Source organism: Homo sapiens, chromosome 1, assembly GCF_000001405.40.
Source record: "Homo sapiens chromosome 1, GRCh38.p14 Primary Assembly".
Taxonomy (NCBI): Eukaryota; Metazoa; Chordata; class Mammalia; order Primates; family Hominidae; genus Homo; species Homo sapiens.
This window is the reverse complement of record NC_000001.11, coordinates 174,532,781-174,549,229: the sequence shown is the minus strand read 5'-3', so window position 1 is coordinate 174,549,229 and position 16,449 is coordinate 174,532,781. Positions and strand designations below refer to the sequence as shown.

At 38.0% G+C, this 16,449-nt stretch overlaps 1 protein-coding gene across 12 annotated transcripts in view; it reads right to left on the bottom strand.

The window, feature by feature from the left end:
- The window catches only part of RABGAP1L (RAB GTPase activating protein 1 like), an 835,789-nt gene that overhangs the window by 446,079 nt on the left and 373,261 nt on the right, over positions 1–16,449 (bottom strand). Inside the window, exon 14 of one of the 12 annotated variants that reach the window (NM_001366445.1) lies at positions 669–1,393. The exons of 10 other annotated variants lie outside the window; for them this stretch is intronic. In NM_001366445.1, coding sequence (NP_001353374.1) covers positions 1,175–1,393 — 219 coding nt within the window. In that variant the 3' untranslated portion in view covers positions 669–1,174. Of the gene's footprint in view, positions 1–668; positions 1,394–3,325; positions 4,387–16,449 lie in introns of those variants that run through there. One more of the 12 variants, NM_001366449.1, reaches the window with a different exon arrangement.

The window sequence follows — 16,449 nt, the reverse complement described above, 5'->3', positions numbered from 1 at the left end:
AAATGTAATCTGTTTAAGAAGTATAGGGTACAGGATACCAATAAGAGTCAGCAGAAATGGCTAACATAGTAGCCTTTGGCTTTCCTGTCATTTTTGAGTAGGATATAACCTATCAGATGAATCTGAGGAAATTAAACTAGTTTTCAGTATCCACTTTGCACTCACACAGGACCCAAGTTCATGGTTTTAGATACACTGAAAATAACATATGCTGTATCCTATCTACCTATACAATTTCAAGTATCGGCCACTAAATTTTTAAATCTTCATGGGATAAGCACAATAGTAAAACATTTTCATAATTGAAAAATCATTAAAAACTTTAGATCACTATTGTAGTTTTAAATTATTTTCTAAGCCCTTTTTGGTACTTCTAACTAAGCTTGTAAATATGCTACCTAGAGATTCAGGTATACTTTTAGTGTTACTTAAACCTATGCAGCTAAAATAAACATCAAATAATTACTGAATGTTAAACTTAAAAATCAGGAAAGTGGTAAGGATATAGAATCTGAAGTTTCAGTGGCAGTTAAACTTTCCAACCAAAATGAATAATTAAGCAAAATGAGGGGAACCTAGCCAAATACTGAAATATTGGAAGATGGGTGGTATGCAGAAGCCCTCTGCAAATTTCTGTGGGTATGAAAAAAGTACATCTCACAAAAAGATGAAAAATAGTGATTTTACTGTTTTGAAAAACTTACAGAATAATTTCATTTGTACACTGCCATGAGAAAATCAGGTTATAAAATTTATCTCCAATCTTAGGCATATAATATGATATATCCATATATAAGCAAAAGCAAGTTCAGAGTTTCTTCATTATTTCCACTTATAGTTTTAAATATATGGTAGACAGGACTTTTAAAGTAAGGGTAATAGAGCACTTTAAAAACAAAAACTATCATTTTACAAATGGATAAATTAAGAGGGTAAACAACTTAACTAATGTTATATAGCAAAGAGTTTAAAAACAGAATCTTAGATTACTTGGCTTCAATTCTGTAGATTATGCTTTCTCTTAATTACCTTCACCCTGAGAGATTATGCACACAGGTTGTAAAATGAACATATGTAACATCAACCTGGGAAATGATCCATAAAGTTGCTTCTAAACTGCAACCTCCCATGCAAAGAAAGCACTCATGCTAAGCTGCCAAGAGCACTGACGCATTTAACAGGCATTAAGCCTCTTAATAAGTTGGTGTTTTAGGACATATTTGTACAATTCAGGCTCAGGAAAGGAACTAAAACAAAAAGTATAAGTAATCAGAACATCAAGTCTAATGTCAAATTGCAGCTGGTTACAGGGTGTCATGGAGACCTTCATAGACCCTTCATATTTAACTAGGTGAATAGTCTGTCTCGGTGTAAGACTAAATTTCATCTGTTGCTAAAAGACAAAATAAATATGATTATTTTCAAATACTATGTAATAGGTAATAAACTGATGCATCTAACGTCAATTTAAATACAAATACAATGACTCCATATCCAAACTTTGCAGATAAATTCCCCATGTCTAAAAGAACACAGAATTACTTTCAATTTACACACATTTAAAGAAAGTTAAGCCCTATGGTATAAGATATATTTCTTTTCTTCTTTTCTTTTAGACAGTGTTTCACTCTGTTGCCTAGGATGAAGTACAGTAGCACAATCACAGCTCACTGCTTCCTCAACTTCCTGTGCTCAGGTGATTTTCCCACCTCAGCCACCTAAGTACCTGGGCATACAGGCACACACTATCACATCCAGCTAATTTTTTATTTTTTTGCAGAGATGAGGTCTCGCTACATTGCCTAGGCTGGTCTCAAACTCGTAGGCTCAAGTGATCCTCCTGCCTCGGCCTTCCAAAGTACCAGGATTACAGGTGTGAGTCACTGCACCCAGGCTTACTTGCTCTTTTCATCAGCTCTCTACCACCTTAAAAATAATCAACGCTCACATTCACTGAGAACTGGTCTGCTAAATGCCAGGTGGTAGCAGGAAAAGGCTACTATAATTATACCCCTAACTTTTTACACACAAAGAAACATCACAGCTAGCAAGATCAAGAATGAAGATTTGAATACAGGTCTGTTTAATTTTAAATCTCTATGTCAAAACTCAGTTTTAAAAAGGAAATTTAATAAAATCCCTATTGGCCTTGTGTTAATTTAACTGCTTTATCTTTTTTTTTTTTTTTTTTTTTTTTTTTGAGACAGAGTCTCGCTCTTTCGCCCAGGCTGGAGTGCAGTGGCGCGATCTCTGCTCACTGCAAGCTCCGCCTCCCGGGTTCACGCCATTCTCCTGCCTCAGCCTCCCAAGTAGCTGGGATTACAGGTGCCCGCCACCACGCCCGGCTAATTTTTTGTATTTTCAGTAGAGACGGGGTTTCACCGTGTTAGCCAGGATGGTCTCGATCTCCTGACCTCGTGATCCGCCTGCCTTGGCCTCCCAAAGTGCTGGGATTACAGGCGTGAGCCACCGCGCCCGGCCAACTGCTTTATCTTAATGCAAAGGATGCAATTTACTAAAAACAAATAGCTAAACAAATAATCTTTTCCTCAATTTTTGTAAAGCAATTCTAATGGTTCTAATTCCCTTACCTAGCAAGGACTGAAAGAGGCATCTTTAAAAGCACCTTCTATGGAAAAGGATTCAGAGAAAAGTTCCTATTCCCCCTTATCACAAATGGCACATTACAGGAAAGCAAAGAGCTGATAAATGTACAGAACTGGGTGTTATCTAAAATATATGAACAACAAATATCTAAACTTTGTTTATACTAAAACTTTGGCTTAATACAGCCATTCTCTAGAGCAGTGGTTTAATAGTCTATTTTTTAAAAATAAAACTGAGTCACTATCTCAATATATTTATACCTAATAGGCTACCTACATACACTACTATCAACCTGTACTTTAAAATTTTTTAGATAAAATATATGTAAGTAGGTGGTCTAATATGTTCTCTCACCCACTTGGTTATAGTATACTCTTCACTTTGGACATCATTGATCTAAAGATGTGAAATTTTTCCAGTTTCTACTTTTTCTAGTATTGCTTCCAGACCCAACTTTAGAGCAGCTTAAAGGACTTTTTTTCCTAATACTCGGAAGAGCTACCAGAATATCAAATTCAAGAGTCTAAAGGAGTTTACAGGCTAGATCTAAAAAAGCCTTATTTTCTTTAAATTTCCACTTAGATTTATCTTCTTAAGATTCTTTTTTTCTTTATGACAGAACCTTTCTACTTAAAACTTTCTACTTTAATGCTAAAATAGATGCCATATAGATTGCAAGCAACATGTGTGAAAAAGAGAAATAACAGAACATTGCAAGTATAACCAAAGCTAATATTTATTAAATAATACCATGCACAAAGCAATACATTAAGCATTCAAAATGTACTATGTCATTCAGTTCTCAAAAAATCCAACAGAAGCTTGGAAGCAATTAGGTAACTTCTACAAAATTACATAGGCAGCAACAGGAAGAGTGAGTATTACAACTCAGGTTTGAACCGAGGTTCCAAGATGGCCAAAAAGGAACAGCTCCAGTCTACAGCTCCCAGCGTGAGCGACGCAGAAGACAGGTGATTTCTGCATTTCCAACAGAGGTACCGGGTTCATCTCACTGGGGCTTGTCACACAGTGGGTGCAGCCCAAGGAGCAGCGTGGGGCATTGCTCACCTGGGAAGTGCAAGGGGTTGGGGAATTCCCTTTCCTAGCCAAGGGAAGCCATGACAGATAGTACCTGGAAAATCGGGACCCTCCCACCCTAATACTGCGCTTTTCCAATGGTCTTAGCAAACGGAACACCAGGAGATTATATCCCGCACCTGGCTCGGAGAGTCCCACACCCACGGAGCCTCACTCACTGCTAACACAGCAGTCTGAGATCAAGCCGCAAGTGTCAGCAAGGCTGAGGGAGGGGCATCCGCCATTGCTGAAGCTTGAGTAGGTAAACAAAGCAGCCGGGAAGACTGAACTGGGTGGAGCCCACCAAAGCTCAAGGAGGCCTGCCTGCCTTCCTGGACTCCAGTACTGGGGGCAGGGCATAGTTGAACAAACGGCAGCAGAAACTTCTGCAGACTTAAATGTCCCTGTCTGACAGCTTTGAAGAGAGTAGTGGTTCTCCCAGCATGTAGTTTGGGACCTGAGAATGGACAGACTGCCTCCTCAAGTGGGTCCCTGACACCTGAGTAGTCTAATTGGGAGACACCTCCCAGGAGGGGCCAACCGACACCTCATACAGCCAGGTGCCCTTCTGAGATGAAGCTTCCAGAGGAAGGATCAGGCAGCAACATTTGCCATTCTGCAATATTTGCTGTTCTGCAGCTTCCACTGGTGATACCCAGGCAAACAGGGTCTGGAGTGGACCTCCAGCAAACTCCAACAGACCTGCAACAGAGGGTCGTGACTGTTAGAAGGAAAACTAACAAACAGAAAGGACATCCACACCAAAACCCCATCTGTAAGTCACCATCATCAAAGACCAAAGGTAGATAAAACCACAAAGACGGGGAGAAACCAGAGCAGAAAAGCTAAAAATTCTAAAAATCAGAGGGCCTCTTCTCCTCCAAAGTATCGCAGCTCCTCGCCAGCAATAGAACAAAGCTGGATAGAGAATGACTTTGACAAGTTGAGAGAAGAAGACTTCAGATGATCAGTAATAACGAACTTATCCGAGCTAAAGGACGATGTTTGAACCCATTGCAAAGAAGCTAAAAACCATGAAGAAAGATTAGACGAATGGCTAACTAGAATAAAGAGCATAGACAAGACCTTAAATGACCTGATGGAGCTGAAAACCATGGCAAGAGAACTACATGATGCACGCACAAGCTTCAGCAGCTGATTAAATCAAGTGGAAGAAAGGGTATCAGTGATTGAAGATCAAATGAATGAAATGAAGCAAGAAGAGAAGTTTAGAGAAAAAAAGAGTAAAAAGAAATGAACAAAGCCTCCAAGAAATATGGGACTATGTGAAAAAAACAAATCTACACCTGACTGGTGTACCTGAAAGTGACAAGGAGAATGGAACCAAGTTGGAAAACACTCTGCAGGATATTACCCAGGAGAACTTACCCAACCTAGCAAGGCAGGCCAACATTCAAATTCAGGAAATACAGAGAACGCCACAAAGATACTCCTCGAGAAGAGCAACTCCAAGACACATAACTGTCAGATTCACCAAAGTTGAAATAAAGGAAAAAATGTTAAGGGCAGCCAGAGAGAAAGGTCGAGTTACCCACAAAGGGAAGCCTATCAGACTAACAGCGGATCTCTCGGCAGAAAGTTTACAAGCCAGAAGACAGTGGGGGACAATATTCAACATTCTTAAAGAAAAGAATTTTCAACCCAGAATTTCATATTCAGCCAAACTAAGCTTCATAAGTGAAGGAGAAATAAAATCCTTTACAGACAAGCAAATGCTGAGAGATTTTGTCACCACCAGGCCTGCCTTACAAGAGCTCCTGAAGGAAGCACTAAACATGGAAAGGAACAACTGGTACCAGCCACTGCAAAAACATGCCAAATGGTAAAGACCATCGAGGCTAGGAAGAAACTGCATCAACTAACGAGCAAAATAACCAGCTAACATCATAATGACAGGCTCAAATTCACACATAACCATATTAACTATAAATGTAAATGGGCTAAATGTTTCAATTAAAAGACACAGACTGTTAAATTGGATAAAGAGTCAAGAACCATCAGTGTGCTGTATTCAGGAAACCCATCTCACAGGCAGGGAAACACATAGGCTCAAAATAAAGAGATGAAGGAAGATCTGCCAAGCAAATGGAAAACAAAAAAAAGCAGGGGTTGCAATCCTAGTCTCTGATAAAACAGACTTTAAACCAACAAAGATCAAAAGAGACAAAGAAGGCCATTACATAATGGTGAAGGGATCAATTCAACAAGAAGAACTAACTATCCTAAATATATATGCACCCAATACAGAAGCATCCAGATTCATAAAGCAAGTCCTGAGTGACCTACAAAGAGACTTAGACTCCCACACAATAATAATGGGAGACTTTAACACCCCACTGTCAACATTAGACAGATCAATGAGACAGAAAGTTAACAAGGATATCCAGGAATTGAACTCAGCTCTGCACCAACCAGATCTAATAGACACCTACAGAACTCTCCACCCCAAATCAACAGAATATACATTCTTCTCAGCACCACATCACCCTTATTCCATAATTGACCACATAGTTGGAAGCAAAGCACTCCTCTGCAAATGTTAAAGAACAGAAATTATAACAAACTGTCTCCCAGACCACAGTGCAATCAAACTAGAACTCAGGATTAAGAAACTCACTCAAAGCTGCTCAACTACATGGAAACTGAACAACCTTGTCCTGAATGACTACCAGGTACATAACGAAATGAAGGCAGAAATAAAGATGTACTTTGAAACCAATGAGAACAAAGACACAACATACCAGAATCTCTGGGACACATTTAAAGCAATGTGTAGAGGGAAATTTATAGCACTAAATGCCCACAAGAGTAAACAGGAAAGATCTAAAATTGACACCCTAACATCACAATTAAAAGAACTAGAGAAGCAAGAGCAAACACATTCAAAAGCCAGCAGAAGGCAAGAAATAACTAAGATCAGAGCAGAAATGAAGGAGATAGAGACACAAAAAACCCTTCAAAAAATCAATGAATCCAGGAGCTGGTTTTTTGAAAAGATCAACAAAATTGGTAGACCACTAGCAAGACTAATAAAGAAAAAAAGAGAGAAGAATCAAATAGATGCAATAAAAAATGATAAAGGGGATATCACCACAGATCCCACAGAAATACAAACTACCATCAGAGAATACTATAAACACTTTTACGCAAATAAACTAGAAAATCTAGAAGAAATGGATAAATTCCTCGACACATACACCCTCCGAAGACTAAACCAGGAAGAAGTTGAATCCCTGAATAGTCCAATAAAAGGCTCTGAAATTGAGGCAATAATCAATAGCTTACCAACCAAAAAAAGTCCAGGACCAGATGGATTCACAGCTGAATTCTACCAGAGGTACAAGGAGGAACTGGTACCATTCCTTCTGAAACTATTCCAATCAACAGAAAAAGAGGGAATCCTCCCTAACTCATTTTATGAGGCCAGCATCATCCTGATACCAATGCCTGGCAGAGACACAACAAAAAAAGAGAATTTTAGACCAATATCCCTGATGAACATTGATGCAAAGATCCTCAATAAAATACTGGCAAACCAAATCCAGCAGCACATCAAAAAGCTTATCCACCACGATCAAGTTGGCTTTATCCCTGGGATGCAAGGCTAGTTCAACATACGCAAATCAATAAACATAATCCATCATATAAACAGAACCAAAGACAAAAAACAGATGATTATCTCAAAAGATGCAGAAAAGGCCTTTGACAAAATTCAACAGCCCTTCACGCTAAAAACTTTTTTTTTTTTTGAGACGGAGTCTCGTGCTGTCACCCAGGCTGGAGTGCAGTGGCATGATCTCGGCTCACTACAAGCTCCGCCTCCCGGGTTCATGCCATTCTCCTGCCTCAGCCTCCAGAGTAGCAGGGACTACAGGTGCCCGCCACCCTGCCTGGCTAATTTTTTGTATTTTTAGTAGATACAGAGTTTCACTGTGTTAGCCAGGATGGTCTCGATCTCCTGACCTCGTGATATGCCTGCCTTGGCCTCCAAAAGTGCTGGGATTACAGGTGGTGAGCCACCGCACCCGGCCTAAAAACTCTTAATAAACTAGGTATTGATGGGACATATCTCAAAATAATAAGAGCTATTTATGACAAACCCACAGCCAATATCATACTGAATGGGCCAAAACCAGAAGCACTCCCTTTGAAAACTGGCACAAGACAGGGATGCCCTCTCTCACCACTCCTATTCAACATAGTGTTGGAAGTTCTGGCCAGGGCAGTCAGGCAGGAGAAAGAAATAAAGGATATTCAATTAGGAAAAGGGGAAGTCAAATTGTCCCTGTTTACAGATGACATGATTGTATATTTAGAAAACCCCATCATCTCAGCCCAAAATCTCCCTAAGCTGATAAGCAACTTCAGCAAAGTCCTAGAATACAAAATCAATGTGCAAAAATCACAAGCATTCCTCTACATCAATAACAGACAAACAGCCAAATCATGAGTGAACTCCCATACACAATTGCTACAAAGACAATAAAATACCTAGGAATCCAACTTACAAGGGATGTGAAGGACCTCTTCAAGGAGAACTACAAACCACTGCTCAATAAAATAAAAGAGGACACAAACAAATGGAAGAACATCCCATGCTCGTGGATAGGAATAATCAATATTTTGAAAATGTCCATATTGCCCAAGGTAATTTATAGATTCAATGCCATCCCCATCAAGCTACCAGTGACTTTCTTCACAGAATTGGAAAAAACTACTTTAAAGTTCATATGCAACCAAAAAAGAACCCACATTGCCAAGACAATCCTAAACAAAAAGAACAAAGCTGGAGGCATCACGCTACCTGACTTCAAACTATACTACAAGACTACAGTAACCAAAACAGCATGGTACTGGTACCAAAACAGAGATATAGACCAATGGAACAGAACAGAGCCCTCAGAAATAACACCACACATCTACAACCATCTGATCTCTGACAAACCTGACAAAAACAAGAAATGGGGAAAGGATTCCCTATTTAATAAATGGTGCTGGGAAAACTGGCTAGCCATACGTAGAAAGCTGAAACTGGATCCCTTCCGTATACCTTATACAAAAATTAATTCAACATGGATTAAAGACTTAAATGTTAGACCTAAAACCATAAAAACCCTAGGGGAAAACCTAAGCAATACCATTTAGGACATTGGCATGGGCAAGGACTTCATGACTAAAACACCAAAAACAATGGCAACAAAAGCCAAAATAGATAAATGGGATTTAATTAAACTAAAGAGCTTCTGCACAACAAAAGGAACTACCCTCAGAGTGAACAGGCAACCTACAGAATGGGAGAAAATTTTTACAATCTACCCATCTGACAAAGGGCTAATATCCAGAATCTACAAAGAACTTAAACAAATTTACAAGAAAAAATCAAACTACCCCATCAAAAAGTGGGCAAAGGATATGAACAGACACTTCTCAAAAGAAGACATTTATGCAGCCAAAAGACACATGAAAAAATGCTTATCATCACTGGCAATCAGAGAAATGCAAATCAAAACCACAATGAGATACCATTTCATACCAGTTAGAATGGCGATCATTAAAAAGTCAGGAAACAATAGGTGCTGGAGAGGATGTGGAGAAATAGGAAAACTTTTATACTGTTGGTGGGACTATAAACTAGTTCAACCCTTGTGGAAGACAGTGTGGCGATTCCTCAATGATCTAGAACTAGAAATACCATTTGACCCAGACATCCCATTACTGGGTATAAACCCGAAGGATTATAAATCATGCTGTTATAAAGACACATGCATACGTATGTTTATTGTGGCACTATTCACAATAGCACAGACTTGGAACCAACCCAAATGTCCATCAATGATAGACTGGATTAAGAAAATGTGGCACATATACACCATGGAATAGTATGCAGCCATAAAAAGGGATGAGTTCATGTCCTTTGTGGGTACATGGATGAAGCTGGAAACCATCATTCTGAGCAAACTATCACAAGGATTTTAAACCAAACACCGCATGTTCTCACTCATAGGTGGGAATTGAACAATGAGAACACTTGGGCACAGGGTGGGGAACATCACACACCAGGGCCTGTTGTGGGGTGTGGGGACAGGGAAGGGATAGCATTAGGAGATATACCTAATGTAAATGACAAGTTAATGGGTACAGCACACCCACGTGGCACATGTATACATATGTAACAAACCTGCATGTTGTGCACATGTACCCTAGAACTTAACGTATAATAAAGAAAATAATAAAAAAAAGAAAAAAAAGAAATGAAAAAAATAAATCAAAAATAAAACCCCGGTTTACCTGATGCTAAGTTCTTTACCACTAAGTTTAACCTCCAACTAAGCCTATGTATGATTTATCTATGAAAATATAATAAAAATAATAAATATGTATTTACTATGGGCCAGTATTAGGTAATTTATTCTTGAAAACTATACTGTAAATAGGAGCTCTTATTATTCTGAATGATAAATGAGGAAACTTAAGTTCAAATCACCCTTTAGTCTTTTGTGTGACCCCGGGCAACTTATTTAACTTTTTAATGAACGTAGGCAGTCTATCTCTAGTGCCTAGACTCTCAACACTACACTAATATGTTTTTCTGTAAGAATTTTGGCCTCCTAAAAAATTTTAAGACAAATTTACCATAGCCTACTATCACACTACAAAATGAGGTTATAAACATGAACGATTACATATACATAAACATGTATACCTATGTGGTATTACGGGACTTATAGCTCCAGGTTACTTGGCATTTAAACAAAATTATCTCTAAGTTGTGCCATATGTCAGAGGTGAAATTCTATAATGGGTTTCATATATTTGACCATTTGTCTCCCAGGGAATTCAAAGTAGTTCTTTGAAAGATAACATAACAATTTTATAGTGCACAGTGAAATATCATTATAACCACCTTGTGGGTTAAAAAAAACTAAGTCATAGAAAAATTAAATGTCAAGATGCAGTTCAAAGAGTACATGGTAGCATTGAAAGAGTATACAAACGTCCCTAGATTAGTGGTATGTCTATAGGGTTATACTTCAAAGTTTAAGTTCAATTCAGTAGACATTTACAGGGCACAAACTATACAGGATACAGAGTAGACAATGTTGGGTTTGGAAACATGTAAAAGATTATTCTTACGTAGTTTATATTCTGGCAGAGAACAAAAAGATGTGTAAAGAACTATAAGGGAAGGGTTAAATACTAATAAAATTTAGAAGAGATTTACAAAGAAACCAAAAAAGAGAAAAATTACTACTCCTAGGTTGAAAAGCAGGAGAAAGCCTAAGAGGGACTAGGCATTTGATCTGGACTTTGGAAATAGTTCAAATGTTCACAGCAAAGAGAAATGGAAGTACCAACATAAGCAAAGAAATGGTTTTCCCAAAGCAGGGTTCAGAGATTGTTGTACCACAGCACGTATGACGAGAGAAATGAGGTCTAAGATTGGAAAGGGAGGTTCAGGGCAGATTGTAGAGAGCATTACCAGGTAAGCTAAGGAGTTCTGAATTTGTTTCTAAAGAAAATAAGGAAATTACATAACAATGTAAGCTTCAAGGAGATTCATCTGGCAGCATTTTTAAAAGGTGGACTAAGGAAGAGAGTAACTAACTGGGTGAGCCCTTATTGAACAATACTCTTGCATAGGGTATGTGAAGCCACTTGATACTCATGGAAGATCTTCCTTAAAAGTTAGTTTCACTGGAAGATTTTAGAGTTGAAAAAAATTATAACTTTTTTGTGTTCTTTAAAAGATCTTGATACATGCATCAGAATCATACTTTTCCACAATGACCACAAACAATGCAGAAAAATATGGAAAATTCACACGATGGCAGATCATTAGTGTTATGCTCTCAGGTAGCACCACTCTACACCTCTCTCCATAGTAGTACAGGTGCCCGCCACCCTGCCTGGCTAAACTTTCTTTCAGGAACAGGAGGAGCAAGAATTGGATGATGGTGTATAGCATTTATTAAGCACCTCTTCTGAGATTACCTGTAGAGGATGGGAAAATACAGACCAGACTTGATATTCCCAAGACCTTTTACCAATATCCACAAGTGGGAAAGTGGGGTGTTCCTTAGGAAAATAGGTTCTTAGTAGCAGTAGGATAAGGGTTACAGGCTTCACTGATTTCTCCAGTAAAACTTTTGTACCCTGAGAGAAAGGCATGTTCCTTTATACGCAGCATAGGTTAAAGAAGGGTAATCATTAGTACTGATATAGCTCTATGTTTCTCAAATTCTGTTAAGCTACTTTGCATTTGGTTCAACCTCATAATATGAACTGTCATAGCAACTCATTCAACTGCCACCCACATATAAGTTTATAGTCTATTTTTAATTGAAACTTCATCTAAGTCAGAAAAATTAGCAAAACCCAAAAGCTCAACTAAAAAGAGGTTTATGAAATTATCTTTATAGTTTGGTGTGGGAGAGAAAAAAGGCAACCAACTACTTCAAAGAAACCAATAAATGAGATTGTTGGCCTTTTAAGTCAAATAACTAACTTCAGATGTAGCAAGAAAAATTGTCAGTATCTACTTATGCTCTACAAATTCAAAATTTCCTTGGTTTTACAAGAACTTTCACCCTATTTTTTCCCCAAAGAAAATTGTTTTAAAATGTAAAATAAACATCCAATATCTAAATGTGTCCTTTTCTCTATTAAAAGGAAAAAAGTAATTATTTAAAAGGTCTAAGGTAAAAATGTATTTGTCATTAATGCCGGTACTCTACCTTCTGCTGAAAAGAATTAACAATATTTCCCTTCCTAATGTTAGAAAATTTCCTTGAAATGACTAAGAAAAATTTTTATTTTAACATGATACACAAAAGATGATTTCCAAAAGATATTTTCCAAAGATGGGTTTTCCCTTCTAATCAGTGACTTAGGCTATTATCTAAAAGCAGTTATCAGCTTGATCTAAAAATTTTTATGTATTTGTTAAAGCTATTATTGCTTGTTTTCATAAAAATCAATTTCTTTAAAGGAAAAAAAGCATAATTCTTCCCACATAAAATAAGAATGCTTATTTTTCTTTTTACTTAATTTATCATTCTCAGTTATCCTGGAAATGTGTCAAAATTTCATAGAAAGCACATTTCTCTCCTCTCTCTCCCTCTCTCAATCTCCCAACCCTCCCTTCTTCTATCTTTCCTTTTTTCCATCTTTTTTCACACACGCAAACAAACATACACAGTTTCAGAAAGTTAAAATTGCTTTTACTTTGGAGTATTTCACTTTCAAACTGTCCTTTGGAAAAAAAAGTGATATATACACTTAAAAAAAGCCATACATTAAATTTCCAGAGGTTTTTTTTTTTCCCCTGACACTGGAATTATTCATTTTGAATGAATGTTCCAAGTGCACACCTTATCAATAATTAAAATACCAATCAAAAGATATTTGCAAAGAGGAAAAAAATGTTATGGTAAAAACCTGAGGTGAGATAAGGACAAGATTTCCTACAGAAACCACAAATATACATTAATTCAGCAATGATGAATTCCAATAACATTATGCTATCACATTCATTTCACAAATCTTCACCAAGTGCCTACTAATGTGCAGGCACTGTCCTGTAACAGAATAAAACTGAAGAAAAAAATTTTCAAGGTCAAACCTTTTTTGTTCTTATAAAATTATACATATTTAATTTTTAAATATGCTCAATTTTTCTATAAAACTCATGAGACATTTTGAGTTTTCTATTTTAATGAAAAACTAAGAAGCAATTCTGAAAGCTGATAGCCTGTTGTCAGTGCATTTTTCATAACTACAATTAATATATTTTCCTTTGGAATTATTAATCTTTTAGGAACTGAATGTTTTATAAAACTAATTATTTCCCCTAAACTATGAAAGCATGACTTCCAGGAAGGAAAAAGGTTGAAGAAATTGGGAAATGAAGGGCTGTAAATTTGTAAATATAGAGGATCTAAGATGTCTCCACTGAACTGAACACTTCAGTTCTTTCAAAAGTATTCCGAACACCTAGCAGGCAAAAAGTGCAGCTTCTAGGATCCTCTCTTAATAGTAACTACCCAGGCTGAAAATAGACTTCCCCTGGCAAATCACTCACTGACTAATTGGGCATCTTTGCTTGCTGGCTATAACGTAGTTCTTGCAGTTTAAGCCACCAGCAATCAGTGCTGATTGAGTACCTATAATATGCAGAGCATGCAGTTCTCAGAGATCCTCACAGTCTAGACCTACAGAGTTTCAGGCCTCCTAGACCATCATGAAATTCTGAGATACAAAGAGATTTTCATTAAAAAAATAAATAGAGACAAATTCTTTATTTTTTATTTCCCACAGTTCAATTTTGACTCATGACATTTCAAAAGAGAAAATTTTACAGCTATACCTAAAAGATGCATGCAAATTGTCTTAACTGCAACAGATCAAGAAAACAAAACAATACTTAACCTTATGGTGTCAAGTTGAACAGTGGCATTCAAAAACTTTTATTTTTTCCTGAGAACAAGGAGATATAAACCATTCCACTTTCATCTTTTGACCATGATGTGAGCATAACCTCAATGAATCAAACCACACTGTATACACTAATTGTTAGTCACCTTCTGGGTTACCATTCAACTGTCATCAGATCAACTATTACAATATCACAGTGCTATGTTCAAGTAACCCTTATTTTCCCTAATAATTGCTCCAAAGTACAATGTACAAGATTAGTGATACTGGCATACTATTCTAATTATTTTTTTTTTTTTTTTTTTTTTTTTTTTTGGAGACAGAGTTTCGCTCTGTCATCCAAGCTGGAGTGCAGTGGCATGAACTCGGCTCACTGCAACCTCTGCTTCCCAGGGTCAAGCAATTCTCCTGCCTCAGCCTCCCGAGTAGATGCGATTATAGGTACATGACACCATGCCCGGCTAATTTTTGTATTTAGTAGAGACGGGGTTTCACCATGTTGGCCAGGCCAGTCTCGAACTCCTAACCTCCAGTGATCCGCCCACCTCAGCCTCCCAAAGAGCTGGGATTACAGGCGTGAGTCACCTTGCCTGGCCTGCTCTAGTTATTCTATTTTATTATTAGTTATTGTTTTTAATCTCCCGTGCAAACATTATAAATTAAACCATCATAGGTACATATGTATAGGAAAATGTATACAGGATTTAGTACTAATCTAGTTTTAGACATCCACTGGGGGTCGTGAAATGTAATCCTCATGAATAACGGCAGGGGGATTACTGCAGCTTTTTGTTTTGTTTTGTTTTTAAACTATTGAGCTGTAAAAGCAAACTGTAGACGATCATATTTAATATACACCATTGATATAAAGTTTAAAAACAGTCAACTTGCTAAATATTGTTTAGGGACACACACACACACACACACACACACACACACACACACACACACACACACAGAGTTGACCTCTGAACAATGCAGGAGTTGGGGCACTGGCCCTATGCACAGTCAAAAATCCATGTATAACTTTTGACTCCCCAAAAACTCAACTACTAGTAGCCTACTGCTAGCCAGAAGCCTTGGTGATAACATAAACAGTTGATTAACACATATTTTGTGGGCTGGGCGCGGTAGCTCATGCCTGTAATCCCAGCACTTTGGGAGGCCGAGGCGAGTGGATCACCTGAGGTCAGGAGTTTGAGACCAGCCTGGCCACCATAATGAAACCTCATCTCTAATAAAAATACAAAAAATTTGCTGGGTGTGGTGGCGGGCACCTGTAATCCCAGCTACTTGGGAGGCTGAGGCAGGAGAATCGCTTGAACTCAGGAGGCGGAGGTTGCAATGAGCTGAGATCATACCATTGCACTCCAGCCTAGGCAACAAGAGCGAAACTCCATCTCAAAAAACAAAAACAAAAACAAAAACACGTATTTCGTATGTTATATGTATTATATACTACATTGTCACACAAAGTAAGCTAGAGAAAAGAAACTCTAAGAAAATCATAAGGAAGAGAAAATATATTTACTATTTATTAAATAGAAGTGGATCATCATGAAAGTCTTCATCGTCATCGTCTTCACACTGAGTAGGCTGAGGAGGAGGAGGAAGAGGAGGGATTGTTCTTGTTGTCTCAGGGGTGGCAGAGGTAAAAGAAAATCTGCATGTAAGCAGACCTGCACAGTGCAAGCCCATGTTGTTCAAGAGTCAACTGTATGTAGTATAAAGACGTATGCAGAAATGACAAGTATGAACTTTAAAACAGTGGTTACCTTCAGACAAAGACGAAGAGCGATGGTACCAGAGGGGAGCGCATGGAAGGATTCCATTATATTTGTTTGCTTATTTATTTTTGAGACGGAGTCTCACTCTGTCACCCAGGCTGGAGTGCAGTGGCGCGATCTTGGCTCACTGCAACCTCTGCCTCCCGGGTTCAAGCGATTCTCCTGCCTCAGTCTCCCGACTAGGTGGGATTACAAGAGTGCCCCACCACGCCTGGCTAATTTTTTGTATTTTTAGTAGAGACAGGGTTTCACTGTGTTAGCCAGGATGGCCTTGATCTCCCGACCTCGTGACCCACCCACCTCGGCCTCCCAAAGTGCTGGGATTACAGGCGTAAGCCACTGTGCCCGGCTATAGTGTTTATTTCTCAAGCTTAGTTGTGGATACATGGATATTTATCATGTTATATTCTATAGTTTTTTATCAGTTTTTAGAAATACAACAAAACTTGTTATAAGTGGTATTAGTGGCAACTTGTTTTTCTTACTCCCCATTTTTTTTTATATATCTGTGATTAACTCCTCT